Raw genomic sequence first — 15,840 nt, forward strand, 5'->3', positions numbered from 1 at the left:
ATAACAATTGTAGTTATTCTGCATAAACTGTACTTTTGCAATTTGTAATGACTGCATTCACAGGCTTTATATTGAATAATAATTTATGTGGTAAATATCTTAGGTATAGCTAATATTTTAATGAGATAAGTAATATTTCTTATTTCTTTTCAGGTATGCCTAGATATTTTACAAAGAGGTTCAATCTGCTCTGCTTGCAAAGCATATTATCAAAATTATAGTTTGTATCAAAAAAGTTTTTATCAAAAATTAAATTCTAAAATTTAGGATTTTAAAAAGAATCTCCAATTTAATTGTGGCACTGGATATAATTAAAACATATTTGTTGAGATAATATACTCTTATAAGAGTTTGATTGAGTGTTACAATAGGGTTACATTCAAGGTATGATCAAAATGTAGAATAAGAAAGGGAGAGGATCTAGTCAAGGAGGTGCTTGAAGAATAAATTGGGATAAGCTAGCTGGACAAGAAGGTAGGGAAGAAGGGGAAGGGCAGAGGTGTGCCAGAAAGAAGAAATGCCCAAGATAGAGGAATTGAGCCACTGAATAGCTTGAGATTCCTTAAGAACCCTTAGAATGGAAAGGCTCTAGTGCTGGAGAGTAGAGTAGTCAACACTGGAGGAGCAATTGAAGATAGTGCTGAAGTTAAAATGAGGCAGGCAGGGACAAGACACAGAGAAAGCCTTTGCTAAAGTTTGGATATTTGTTCTCCAAAACTTCATGTTATTAATAAAATTTGATTCCAATGTTGGACGTGGGGCCCAATGGGAAATATTTGGGTCATGGTGGTGGATCTCTCGTGAATAGATTAATATCCTCCCTGAAGGAAATGTGGTGAGTGAGTTTTCACTCTTTGTTCCTGACAGAACTGGTTGTTAAAGGGTCTGTTACTTCCCCTCCCTCTCTCTTGCTTCCTCTCTCACTATGTGATCTGCACACACCAGCTCCTCTTCACCCTCTGCCAAGAGTGACAGCAGCCCGAGGTCCTCACCTGATGTAGATGGTGGGGCCATACTTCTTGAACAACCTGCAGAACTGTGAGACAAATAAACCTCTTCTTTATAAGTAACCCAGCCTCACGTATTCCTTTGTAGCAACACAGACTGGTAGGCCATGTTTTAACCCATTTTATTTTCTTAGAGAGATGAATAAGGAGAGAGAGATGTTGACTATAAATCTCTGAATTATGTGATCATATCCTGTCAGACTTCTTCTAAAGGCATTTAATGGTGCTTTTTTCTTTGGACAAAATAAAGTCTAAACCCTGAGATCAAAGTGAATTCTTTCTGTTCCCCATTATGTTCCCTCAGGGACAGCATGCTCCTCAACTTACTGTTTCTCCAACAATACTGGATTTTTATTTTTCTGTGCCCTCTGCCTAGAATATTTTCCTCCCCATTTCTGCCCATAGGTCCATACCCAGTTCTAAAGACAAATGTCACCTTCTCCATAAAGGTTTTGCTAATTTTGACTACATCTTCATCTTGCCTCACAGGGAAAACATGTTCCCTCTCAGTTGTGCTTCTAAACCACTTTCTTTTTTCTATCTTTCTCACGGCATTTTTCATTTTCTTTCTTGAATTATGAATATGTGCATGTGTGTATATATACATATATATATATATATATATACACACACATGCACATCCATAATACACGATATATGTACATAAACATCCATAATGCATAATATATATTTGTGTGGGCCTGTACATATGTGTGTATATATTTAAATCCCGTTACTAAATTTTCAGATTCTAGACAACAGGGATTGTCCACACATTTTCTTAATTCTTCTTTTAGTAGCATTTAGCACAGTGCTTTGTACTTAGCTGTAGTTGACAGAGGCAGGGGACGCTGTGTCATCATGAGAGAGTATAGACAGATATGCCTTACAAGCAGATTTTTCAGGGAGATCACCAACCTGAAAGAGCCAGTTCAGATTTTTCAGAATGATGTGAAATAGATCAATTAGTAAGGCAATTTTGAAGTTACTTTTGAGCAGTGGCCAGAACAAAACAATGGACCTTTGTAAACCATTTTTTGAATTGCAAACCCTTCAGAGTTTGCTCTAAAGAAAGGTCTCACTTGGGTAAGAATTTATTTGGTCAAATGGGGTGGGAAAAAGTATATGATAGAACTAATGGCTTTCAATAACTGTTACCTCAACTTTGAAAAGCTTGATGAATCCAACATGGTTGTTTCTGAATGAATTAGTAAAATTTGATCAAGCCAAGTGTCTATGCATCTCAAATTTTATTACACATTGCCCACATTTTCTTGGGTTGCTGAAGTTCATAATATATTTTATCTCTTAAGCCATAATATATTTTATCTTTTAAGCCTATAAGGTATATTTCAATTTCTCTGCTGGTGCCAGAAGAAAAAGTGCTTTGGCAGTAACGTTCAATGGAAAATCCATTCTCGGATATGCTAGGACGCAGCAGACACAGGGGGCATGTGTGAGTTTAAAAGAGAGATTTAGTGGGCTGTTCAGCAGCACAGAGATTAATAAGTTGAACTCAGTAGTTTCATAGACGCTGACGTTATTCGACTTCTGGTAAAAAGCATTGCATATGTTAAAAGTCTGGTCTGTTTTTAACCATGTATGGTAATTTAGGCACTTTAATTTTCAACAGTGCTGTATAATCATAACCATATTCTCTGAACAGTTGGAAAAGTTTATCAGAAGATAAACATTCAACCTGATCAGATACTTTCATCCACAAAACAAAACAATTTTATGAATTCCATGGATTAAAATATGAAAGAGAGCAAAGCATTTACTATTACTTTAAAAACTATTTACTTTGATTTTTGAAAATAAATATTTTTGGACAACTGTTGGGGACACATTATCAAAGTTCTATATTATCTTTAAGAAATGTCGCTGGTCCTACTGCCTGATTTGATGTCAGTTGCTATGACAGTTTTCTCAACTGCAACAGCTTCCTCCTTTCCTTGGTCTTCATTCCCTTTCCGCTTTCTAATTTTCTGTCCTTTCCTTATTTTATTCTTCTACTCGTCTGATTTAACTCATTTTCCTCTCCTCCTCTTCCTACTCTGACCTGAGTCAGTAACAGTTAAATACTACTTATATGAGTTCTGTTGGAAATTTTGAAAAGCAAAGGATTTTTTTGACATTTCAATTTTATCCCTCTTCTTCCCTTTCTGTGTTTCCTTCAACTATTCCTTTTTTGTTTCCTCCCTTCTTTCTTTATATTTAAGAAAATCTGATAATATTCTTCATAGATTTAATAATTTAAGTCAGAAGAAACTTCTGACTGAATCCCAATAAAAATTATGGAAACAAAGAATTTGCTTTCAAACATTATTTAAAATATATGTAATCTGAATATTTTAATTTCTTTAGTTTCTTGAGGTTGGAGAGGACATAAAAGATTTCATTCAATGTTTGAATCCTTTGATACAAGATTTGCTTCTTTTCTACCACCAGTTGATAAACCTAATAACTCATTTGTTGGAAATCTACTACCCTCCACAAGAAGGACCTTCCTTTCTTATATTGGGGTACTATGTGTATTTGTCTCCTGTCTATGAATCCTATTTTTCCTGCTTTTCTTCCTGCAGCCATTTAGAAGAGGCATTATTTATTTATTTATTTATTTATTTTTGTGACAGAGTCTTGCTCTGTCACCCAGGCTGGAGTGCAGTGGTGCGATCTTGGCTCACTGCAGGCTCTGCCTCCCGGGTTCACGCCATTCTCCTGCCTCAGCCTCCCGAGTAGCTGGGACTACAGGTGCCCACCACCACGCCCGGCTAATTTTTTTGTCTTTTTTAATAGAGATGGGGTTTCACCATGTTAGCCAGAATGGTCTCGATCTCCTGAACTTGTGATCCACCTACCTCGGCCTCCCAAAATGCTGGGATTACAGGCGTGAGCCACAGCACCCAGCCAGAAGAGGCGTTTTTTAAAAATAAGAAAACACTTCAGATGTTTTTAATATGCCATCATAAAATGTCCTGGAAGGGTGCACTAAAACTGTTTAAAAATGACAACTTTTGTGAAGTGGGACTAGGGGATAAGGGAGATAATTCTAGAAGTTAAGACTCATACTGGATTTAAAATATACTCATTCATGTATTAATTTAATAGCAGTAATAATTATTATTTTAAAATAACATTATGTCCTCTATGAGTCTCCTCTTAAAAATGCAAATGTTTACAGCTAATTTTTTTTCTCAAATAATAATTACTTTTAGGCCTCACTTCTGTCTTTTCATTTTCTCTGCTCATGGCTCTATCCTTTTGAAAGGTATTTGAGTGTGGCAGCCAAATAGAACCAAAATGACGAATTTATTGAATGGTGATTTAGTTGTGTGTATGTGTACAGGTGTCCACATGTATGTTGATATGCACAGATTAGACATTGTTTAGTATACAACCCTTAGTTTAGCATATAGAACTTCATAGATATATAGAGAAAATTATTACAGTCACTAAAAATGGAAGAAAAAAGGATTTTAATAGAAAAAAACATAATATATTATTTTCCACACAGGACAGAAATGACATGATCTTTATTTTTGTGTCGTGGGTTTTCCTACCTGTCTTAACTACAGAAAAATAACCCGGCATATACTCTTCTAATTAACAGGTCAAAAAGCATGCATTGAAGGATATTTATTAGTTTTCAAATACACTATTGTTTTGTACTGTCTTTATAATAAAATTGTGTATTTTTCTTAGGCAACATCTTATTTGTTTAATGTTTTAATTTTACCACTTAAATTTTTCAATTTTTTCTTTAATCATGATATGTCCAAAATTGTAGTATCTTAGGGAGTCAAGAAAGTGCTTTCTTTCCAACCCCCTCCAACCAGAAGACTAATGTTTTATGATAAAATATGGCAAAAGCAGAGTATTTATAAAAGCAATGTGAGAAAAGTAATGTGAGTCACAAAGGTAAAGAACAATGATGCCCTGTCAGCTCAAGTTAGGGAATCGATATCTTCATAAGTTAATGACACTGAAGTAAGCAAGTTCTTGGATCTGGCAAGAGGGTGTTGTATGGCAGGATGTTGCAAGGTATGGCTTTTGTGCTATTGTTGACGCTATGAGTCAATTCTCTGAGTCAACTCATGACAAGTTGATACGGAATCTAGTGAGAGTGCAGAATAGAATGGAATTATCCTTGGAGAAGTTGTTGATGCAGGAACTCTGAATCTTGAGTTTTGGTTCCAGTTCTAGCCCTGAAACTAATTACCTGAGTGTAAGTTAACTTCTCTGTGCCCCAGTTTCTTCACCTATAAAATGTGAATATTAAACTACATCAGTAGGCGGTTTCATGCTTTTGACCTTTTATGGATGTAGGGAATCACTGTGGAAAATCTGAAGGACTACATCCAGGAGGAAAACAAGACAAAATATTCTATGATGGGACAGCAGCTAGCTTTGGGTTATCAACATTTTCTGAAAAAATGTTAGTAACCATTGTTACAAGCATATTTCTTCTGTCTGTCATAGTAGGGAAGAAGCAGTACTTCATGTAAGATGTAAAGTGATTAGCGATCAGCCATGTCAACAGTTCAGAGCACTCAACCATTCCTGTCTCCTTTTTACTAAATAAGTATAATCTATCATAACATGGTTCAACTTGAAAAATTTTTCTTATAGCATCTGCAGAAAAATGTAGACAGAGAGCTAAGAATGATTAGCCTATAAATAATTAGTATTGAAAGTGAATAAAAACAGTTCTAAAGATCCAATAATTCAATTTGCTGTTTTAAAAATAATTGGAAATTGTCAGTTATTTCTAAAACAAAATGGGGCATTGATTCTTAATGGGTTTGTTTTAAATGCATAGCATTTTCCATTCACTTCAGCATTTCCACTAATTTGGTTTCATTATTAGTAATAAAATTGATATACATTATGCATGGAAGTAGTAGCTATCAAAGGAAGTAACATATAGAACCAACAGCTACCTCTCTCTATTATGATTCAAAAATAGTATGCTACAAAATAAAATGCTTCAGAATATAACTTTTTCATATTATTAAACATGAGACATTCTTATTCTTATATCTGAATTCTATTGGCTATGGAAAAAATTTCAGGAAAAAATAAAGTTTTGAGATTCTTGGGATATAATCATCCTTTGTATTTTCAAATTAAAGTGAATAGTAATTAGCAAGTTAAATTTATTGAAGCTAAGTTTATAAACGTTGAGAGGGAAATCTATTTTCTATAAAATTCTTGTAGAAAATTGAAAATTTGAGGAATTATTAAGAAACCAAATTCAAATAAACAGAATTAAACAAATGACTTGATGGACAATGACCCAAATTATGGGGGACAGTCTTTTGGAATTAAAATCTGTTTCTTCATTTAACCTACAGAATAATACAACTGATTTTATCATTTTGTGTTATTAGTGAATTCTTCATAATGGAAATTGTTCTGAACTAACAGTTGAAGAATTTGCTGTGACGTGATTTGCATCCTTTCCCACCCTCATAGTTTAAATAAGGCTGGCAAGCTCATGAGATTAGGCATTCCCATAACACTGTAAGAGCTTCCTGGCTTTATGCCTTCCAGAAGTAACAGCATAGAGTGTTTTTATAATAATCCTACTTTGGGGTAAAAACAGGAAGGGAGAGGCATGTTAAATTACATTTTTTATAAGATGAACAGAACCAAAAGAAAATAGAACAGTATCCTTTTCAGTTTTGGGAAAGTTAAAATGGACTCTGATTATTCAGATTATTTACTTATTTGTTTTTGAATAGAAAAAGTGTCTTGATATGCTGTTAAAATGTTATAAAATTTCTGTCTATTTTTTTCCTGAAACTGAGCTACCAAGCTAAGGTGACAATATTTAATTCACTTGTCTGCCTTACTTAGAAAACACACTTTGTTGGACAGATACATATTGTCTGCTGACATCAGTTCTTAAGATCAGGTTTAATACTGGTGCATTATGGAATTTTTCTAATCTTTCCTAGGATCGAATAGGTTATTAATACTTTTTAATTTTGTTATGATATCTCTTATCATCAGCAATTGACATTTACTGAATGTTTTATTCGGTAATAACTGCATATGCAATTCTAAATTTCTAGTTCTAATACTTTCTAAATGATAGGAAAGAACACAACTATTGTTAATAAATACAATAGTATTTCTCAAATTTTGAAGGGAAGAAAATTATTATCTAAATAAACTCTCAGGAACAGATGATCTTTTGCTATTTTGTGTTTTCCTTTTGGGTATCTGTTATCAGGGATGATGATAAACATATTTCTTGTATCTGACTACCATGATATTTTTCTCTATTCCTTTGGAAATGGCATTAGTTTTCTTCTGACACTATTGTTATTCTTTCCAGCATGGCAACCTTGGGCTAACAGCATACGTTAGTAAATGCTATGCTTTTTCTTTAAGGCTTTTCTAATTTTTAATTAAAAAGAAAAGATAGATTCTTGCTGATCACCTACAGGAGTGTGACTCTCCATGGTTACCTGTCACTCAAAGAACTCCAGCTCTGAGGAATGCTAATTAGCCCTGTTAAAGCACCATAATTGAACTGGAGAGATGACTGCCGAAGGTGCAGGTCTGCCTTCATTCAGAACAGTCCTGCCATCTGAATGGATGGAGCCATCCTGACAATGTGAGGGAATAAAGGAAGACGAGGAGAAAAAAGAAAAACAACATTCCATCTGCCTTTTTTTTGCTCAGTTTTAAAGTGATTATCAAGATGTAACCTGGATACCATGTGGATATTTTAAAAAAATGTTTTCTTTAGCCATAAGAGAATGAGCCATAGCACCTGCTTGACAATGATCTCTATGGTGACTACAGCATTTGAACTGTATAAAAATGAATATTGAAACAAATGGACATATTGGGACATCAGTGCGGATAATCATAATGATGATAATAGATGTATATTTTGGGAAGAGTAGTCAGTCTTTATTTAAATGACGATGGTATTTGGGCACAGACAACTGACCACACAGGAATGTTTCTTGGTTATTTTTTGGTGGGCAAGAGAGAAAGTTCTGGATATTGCAATGCCTCTCAAACATGTACATTGGCATTTAGAAATTTAAAGGAGAATATAACATCTAGTGGAGAAAATCTCAGACCATCACTTATAGTAAAAGAAAGAAAACTAAGATAATTGTGTTCCAAAAAATATTTCATTTTTCAACTTAGTTCTAAATATTAATGTGGGAAATAAATAATTGTAAAATTGTAAAATGATGATATACTTGACATAATAAGACAGTAGGATGTTCCATATAATCATGAAATCATAGTATTCTATAACTATAGGGACCTTAGATGTGTTAAAAGAAATTAGACAAATTTAACAGTTTGTTTGAACAAGAAATGATTTGCTAATTGGGAAGCTCTTAGAGACAGAAGAGTTCAGGGAGCTCTAATTAGCATTGTGGGCAGGCAACGTTTATGGACAGAAAATGAGAGTGAGATACAGAAACAGCTTGATATTTGCCTTGTTTGAATATGGCCTGATCACTTGACAGCCTGTGATTGACTGAAGATTGGCTGATGTGATTGGCTGAGACTCAGTTACTTGTTACAAAAGTATATTCCTATATTAGGCTTTAAGTAAGTTACTTGGTTGTAGTACATTATATTGGGCCTATTAAGTACGGAGGCATCCTCAGGCCAAATATAGTTTAATTTAACAGCAATAACCATGTACAATGCCTTGGAAATTAACATTTAGAGAAGCTGTCACTAGCCCCAAACCACATAATAAATGATAGGTAGAGGTCAGAACAGAATCCAAGACCTCTGACCCCATGTTTACCATGTGGGGTAAAGAGTAGGAGGACGAAATGTGATTTGATTCTAAGGTGACGTGGTGCAAAATCCATAACATCAGAGATTTTTATCTTAGCCTTTGTTATAATATAGTATTCGTAGCACCTCAGAGTGTCTAATGCCTCACATCTCTTTATGAACAGACACATTCTTATATAAGTTGAATTTTAAAAATTACTTTCAGATATTTAAAAGGCTGGACCACCCAATAAGATAATTCTGCACTCCTTGCCTTTGTTCCCTCCCTCCTTCCTACCTTCCTCCCTCCCTCCTTCCTACCTTCCTCCTTCCCTCCCTCCCCCTTTCCTTTCCCTTTCCCTTTCCCTTCCCTTCTTTCCTTTCCTCTCTCTCCTCCCTCCCTCCCTCTCTTCTTTCCTCCCTCTCTCCCTCCCTTCCTTCCTCCCTCCCTCCCTCCCTTTCTCTTCCTTCTCTTCCTCCTTCCCTCCCTCCTTCCTTCCTACCATCCTTCCCTCATTTATTCCTTCTTGTTCATGTTGGTGTGAATCCGTCTAGAAGTTAAATTGAATGTGGTGACTTTGACATGTGTATTACTGGAATAACTGGAAATCACTGTTATCCTAACTTACTTAGATGTGTTGTAGACTACTTACTTCTTCCTTCAGAGAAGTAAATACAGCATACTTAACCAACAGACATTGAAAGCCTAATATGAGAATAAAAGAAACAGATGAAACCAAAAAACCAGTTCCATTAGGTAACTACTGTATTCTAGGCACACATATTATTTTATGTGATTCTTGCAGCAAACCCATACTTTTGATACTATGTATATATTTTATAGATAGGAAACCAAGTTTCAGAACGTGTTAAGTAATTTTCTCAAGGTAATAAAAGTAGTAAATGAAAGAGCTAGGATTTAAACCCAAATAGTTTTTCTCCAAATCCATGCTTTTTCACAATACTGTGCTTTATTATGACTTCAAACTATAATTGCCTAGTCTCTTCAACATGCAGTCCACACAACTGAAAATCAATTTTCTTTACAGTTCTCACAGAGCTATGATAATTGGTATTATATAGTGGGCAGCCTTATCTTTAGAGTGTGATTATTCCAACTCTTGTCCATCCTATTTTGGCTGGGGTGTTCAGAGAAGACTTCTCAGAGATGGTGACCTTAGAGCTGAGACCCAAAGGAGGAAATGAGGCCAGCCAGGTCACCATCTTGAGGGGGAATAAGTCAGGCAGAGGAAATAAAGGTGCAAAGTCCCCATGAAAGAAATAAGCTTTGTCTGAATACTTAGAATAAACTGAATGGGATGAGGGAGGGGTACAAAAGATGAGGTTGGAAAGACAGGGGTCAGTCAGTTTTTGCAGAATCTTGTAAACAAAGTAAAAAAATTAGCATTTTATTCCAATTGTAGCAGGAAAGGACTGCAGGATTTTTAGCACAGATGTGCCATGATACCATTTATGCTTTAGAAAGATTATCAAGAGCATAATAAATTATTGGGAGCAAGAGTGGAAGGGGCCTGCTGGGAAGGCCTAGGAGTTTCAGATAAGAGAGCAGGGTTTCAGCAGTGCAGAGGGTGAGAAATCATCAGCTTTGGGATACATATCAGGGGTTATGCCAGCCTGATTTTTGGATGATGGGAGGTGGATAATGGGAGGTGGATGTGAAGGAAAGAGAGGACTTAAGGTTGTCTGTGGTGCTTTTGTCCTGAGAAGGGTCCAATGAGACAGTGCTATTTACCCAAGGATAACTGAGGAAGGAACAATTTTATGAGGGACATGTTAAGATAGTGCTTTTTGCATAGAAAACTCTTAAAACACAGTTTTATAATGAATGAAGGATAAAGATTTAGACTGTTTTATTTGTGGTTACTCAATAAATACTTCACTGAGACAGTTTAAAAAATGATATAACCTAGCCTAAAGTAAGAATACAATTTTAAACAAAAACAAACAAAGCAGTCATTATAGCTAATGATAAAGTATATCACTGTACCATAGAAGAAGCACCATATATTCAGAGAAAAAAAGCTAAATGGTTGTGAAATTTCCTCTCAAGGTCATTTGGAAAGGCTATAATAAAAAGAAAAGAAAAGCAAGAAATAACAGCATGTCAAGTGGGCTGTTTACCACACCTTTTTCCACCACATAGGTAAGAAGTCACATCTTGTCAAATCTGCATAGTTCATGAGAATGGAATGCTTCAAGGAGACCAACCCTTTTCCACACCCTTAACTCTTTTTCTTTCATCCTAGAGTAAAAATAAAAATGAAACTTGACTTTCAGTAAGAAGAAACTGACCACAGGATTAAAGATATAAAGACAATTATTATAAAGATACTCTGATTTTTGACATCCTGTTTACAATGTGAGTGTGTATCTGTGTGCATAAAAGTTTTCTTGCCTTCTAATAGTGGTTTTTATTATTTTTATTAGACACAGTGGGTAGAAATTTTTAACTGCTTTATTGAACGTGAGCACCAACACATATAATTTTGAATAACAACCAATAATATCAGAATTTTAAGTTTGTCCTAAAATTAGTGAAAGACCTTTTGCTGAGCTTACTTATTAAGAACGTCCTCTTCAGCACTAGAAGTTTTACTCTTGGTGTTTTGCCAGAGAATTGTATAACCATTGCTCACATTCATCTCTCTTATCTAACTGATTGTAATTTCCTTTTTCTCACTTTTAAAACTTTAGTGTTTACTTTCTACTATATTCATTTTTCTTTTTTGATATTTTGTTTGATAAGTATTCTTTATATATATTATTTCTTTAACCTGTTTTCAAGCCTCTTCAAGTATTTTCTAGACATTTATTTGGGGTGAAGCATGGGGATGCAGGAAGAAAGTTAAATAGTAGACAAGTACATGAATAAATATTACATTGGCATGTGTGTTTTCTCTATTTTTATGACTCACATGTTGAGACCCACAGCTAGGTCATATGCATTCATGGAGTTCATGTCATTTCTCCAGGGTTGAGTGTGTACAGAGCACGGGGCTAGGTATGAGCAACAGGTTGTTCTGTATTCAAGATGTATACCCAGTGGATCATTCCATCATTTGTTATTTATTTACATGTTGAATAGTCTATTATCCTTTCATATTGGACTGTTTCTCTGATCTTCACTATTAGAAATTAGGACCCAATAAAGTAAGGGATACTCCTATGAATGGGGGGCTGAGAAGCACAAGTAACACCAAAACATTAGTTCAGTGCCATTGAGAGAAATACAACAACATTTCTGGTTTTTGAAATCAAGAATATTTAGTATAACCACTTATTATCTTCATGTATTCCATTTTCATTATGTTTCACACTAAAAGAAAGTGAATACTTATCGAAATACCTTTAAAATGCATTTATTTTGAGTGACATTTATCTCTTCACATTTAAAATTACAGTCATGCTGAGTAGCAGACACTGTGGTTGTCCCTTGATATCTTCACATTTTTCATTGTAATAGTTAAGATGATGTTTCCAGCCTCCCCTGCGGGCTGAGTGACCATGTAACTAAGTTCTGGTGAGTGAGACGTAAAGAGATATAAAAATGTGTGCAATTTCTAGGTCTAAGGAGATGAGGCATGTTGTCTTCTTCTTCCTTACCCCCTCCCTGTTGGCAGGGATGGGGATCTAGTGGTGAGTCTACTGGACCATTCAAATGAAGTCAACTGCCTAGGACTAGCAAAGCATCATGATAGAAAAGGGTCAGCATTTCTTATGACATTGCAGAATAGAGCCACAAAGTAACTCAGACTCATATATTATATTAGAATATCTCATTGACACATTATATTAGATATTATATTAGAATATCTCATTGACAGTATAATATCTGGACAAATTGATTTTCAAAATTATGTCTAAAAGGTTTTTTTTAAAAAAAACCCTATAACATGTTACATTCAGTCCTACCTATTTGTGTAAGTAGTCCTAGCTTGAGCTATACTGATTTTGTTACATATGAGAGGTGCATTTCTATTGAGATGAGCAAGAAATGTCTCAGCTATACTTATAGGCGAGTATACATTGTATATTACACAATTGTCAGTAAATGGACATCTACATAAAAACAATATATATGCATGAAGATGGAGAGAGAACACTAAAGGATGCTGACATTACTGTGAGGCTCACCTTGCTAGTTAAGCCACTCATTCCTACATATCATACTCAAAGAGTATCAGAGTGAGCAAATCTGTGCTGTAGAAAAATCACAGGTTGCGTCATGTCAAAGATATTAGAAGTTTCTTGAGAGTTAAAGCCTTGAATCTTAGGTTTTTGAAGGCCCAGTGTCTGCTCTATGGCATTTTATAGTTTTGCTATTTGATCATCTGGGGAGCATTTTTATGGCAGATGTTACCTAATGACTCCTTTAGTGATTAATCGAGGCATGCCTAGGAACTACTAAGGGGAAGAAACAGCTTTGTAAATATATGAGACAAATATGATAGGAGCTGGTTACATGCACTGGGATGATCCTATAGCAACTTGTGTGATTTCTTAGTTGGTTGCTCACAGCCTTTACATGCGTTGCTTGCAAAGTATTTAGTGCTAAAGCTGGTAACACAAAACTAAAAGGCTCACTGCAAACATTTTGCTTACGAATAAAACATTTTCAGTAATTCTGGGAACTTACAGGTTCGTTGTAACTGCTAATTGGAATCCTCATATGTTGACCAGAAAATCATAGTGAATAAGAAATGTGGTGATCATTTAACAATAAACTGCAGAAACGTAAGCCGAGCATTGTTATATGTTAATCAAAAGGCTTCAAATGGAATTATTGTGTGAAAGAACTCTTTCAAAAGGGATTGCTATAGGTCTCCGATAGTAGCTATCATTTATGTAGTACTTATCATGGTTCAAATATGTGCTAAGTACTTTCTATAGATTATCTTGTTGAATCTTTAGTGTAACTCTATGAAGTAGTTACTATTATTGATTTGAAAAGGAAACTGAGATTTAGAATGTTTAAGCACATTGTCCCAAATAACAGAATTAATAATTGGTAGTACAAGGATATAAACCCAGGTTTGTCTGACTTCAAAGTTCATTCCCTTAATATGAAGCATGGATCTATTTATTGACAGAAAAAACAACCATATTCCATTTATGATAAGAAGTTGAATCAGTGTAATACATATGTTAAGACAAAGTAAAACAGTATCTAGTATAGTAAAGATCTTCCCAAATAAGCAGTTGAATCTATTTAATATATATTTATCCTCTTTGAATCTCTTCTTCCAAGTCTCTGTTCTTGTTATGGAGGTTTTCAGCAAAATGCACTTGGTCTTCCAACAACACATTGTTGAATATCCTTCCACACACATTGCTTTTCTGTTCCCATGGAGGTATTCAAACACTCTTTATAATGCTCCTTTTAGCAGCAGAGCACCTTCTAGAGCCTCAGACAGCTATGTGATGTCATTGAGTGGCTGCAAGCATCTAAAAGGAAAAAAAATGCAACTGGTTTCATCTTGTCCTCTACTTGGACCAACATATAAATGACCAGGAGTTAAATCCATATTTGGAGCACTTGGAAATGAAATCTTATCTCTGGAAGTTGAAATAATGTAGTTAAGTCAATGTTTAAAATAAAATTTATTTGCAGGATTAAAATGTTTAGAAAAAAAACAGTTGGAGAAAGACAGCAAGAGGAATCTTCACTTTATAGAATGTTTTGGCACTTATAAATTATTCTGAAAAATATTAGATGAAAAAGATTTTTTTGACAATTTGTAGTTGTATGAGGAACGTCCATCAACAACAAATTGTTTAAAATGCAATCAAATGGTATTAATGTATCACATTTTTGCCTCTCTCAAGCATTTCTTACAAATTCACATTTATTTGTGGACTGGATTCTAACACTTTTTCATTTAAAAGTCATTTGAGAAATTTTAGGATCAAGTGCAAAGGAATGTTATGGAGTTGAGATGATAAGTATGACAGTAATTGAGCTTCACCAAAGAAGAATCTTATGAAATTGAAAGCAGAACATATTTAATTATTAAAAATATTTCATTACTTTATAACACTTAGAATGTAAAATATTTAGTCTCTATCCATGACACATTTATTTTAAGATCATGTAGTATTTGACAGTTTCAGAACAATGAATCTGAACGTTCCTTATAGGATTTTGGATCTGCATTTATTCTCATTCTGTTGATGTTCTGGGGAAAATATGTTGTCCTGGTGTATTGAGGTGGATACACTGTTCTACCCCTTCCACATTCTCTCTCTAATGAAGCCAATGGTATACCCTAGATAATAATAGATTTCTTTTAAACTTGTACATGGCCTCTGGTAGATTTTCAAATACAACAAAAACAAAAATAAGACAAAAATAAACCTCAAAAATAGTTTACAAATATCTCTCTAAAGAAAAAAAATCCAAAAAGAAAAAAACTAGAGAGAACTGCCTTAGAAATAAGGTGTATTATCCAAAAGCAATGGCAATAAAAGCCAAAATTGACAAATGGTATCTAATTAAACTGAAGAGCTTCTGCACAGCAAAAGAAACTACCATCAGAGTGAACCGGCAACCTAAAGAATGGGAGAACATTTTTGCAATCTACTCATCTGACAAAGGGCCAATATCCAGAATCTACAATGAACTCAAACAAATTTACAAGAAAAAAACAAACAACCCCATCAAAAAGTGGGCGAAGGATATGAACAGACACTTCTCAAAAGAAGACATTTATGCAGCCAAAAAACACATGAAAAAATGCTCATCATCACTGGCCAACAGAGAAATGCAAATCAAAACCACGATGAAATACCATCTCACACCAGTTAGAATGAACATCATTAAAAAGTCAGGAAACAACAGGTGCTGGAGAGGATGTGGAGAAATAGGAACACTTTTACACTGTTGGTGGGACTGTAAACTAGTTCAACCATTGTGGAAGTCAGTGTGGCGATCCCTCAGGGATCTAGAACTAGACATACCATTTGACCCAGCCATCCCATTACTGGGTATATACCCAAAGGATTATAAATCATGCTGCTATAAAGAAACATGCACACATATGTT

General features: G+C 34.7%; 1 long non-coding RNA gene across 1 annotated transcript in view; it reads right to left on the bottom strand.

The window, feature by feature from the left end:
* Positions 1–13,851: 13,851 nt before the first annotated feature.
* LOC105371677 (uncharacterized) overlaps positions 13,852–15,840 on the bottom strand; it is a 67,447-nt gene continuing 65,458 nt past the window's right edge. Inside the window, exon 2 of the long non-coding RNA XR_922398.3 lies at positions 13,852–14,243. This is a non-coding gene — a long non-coding RNA (uncharacterized LOC105371677). The remainder of the gene's footprint in view (positions 14,244–15,840) is intronic.

The sequence above is a fragment of the Homo sapiens genome, chromosome 1 (assembly GCF_000001405.40).
Source record: "Homo sapiens chromosome 1, GRCh38.p14 Primary Assembly".
NCBI classification, from domain to species: Eukaryota; Metazoa; Chordata; class Mammalia; order Primates; family Hominidae; genus Homo; species Homo sapiens.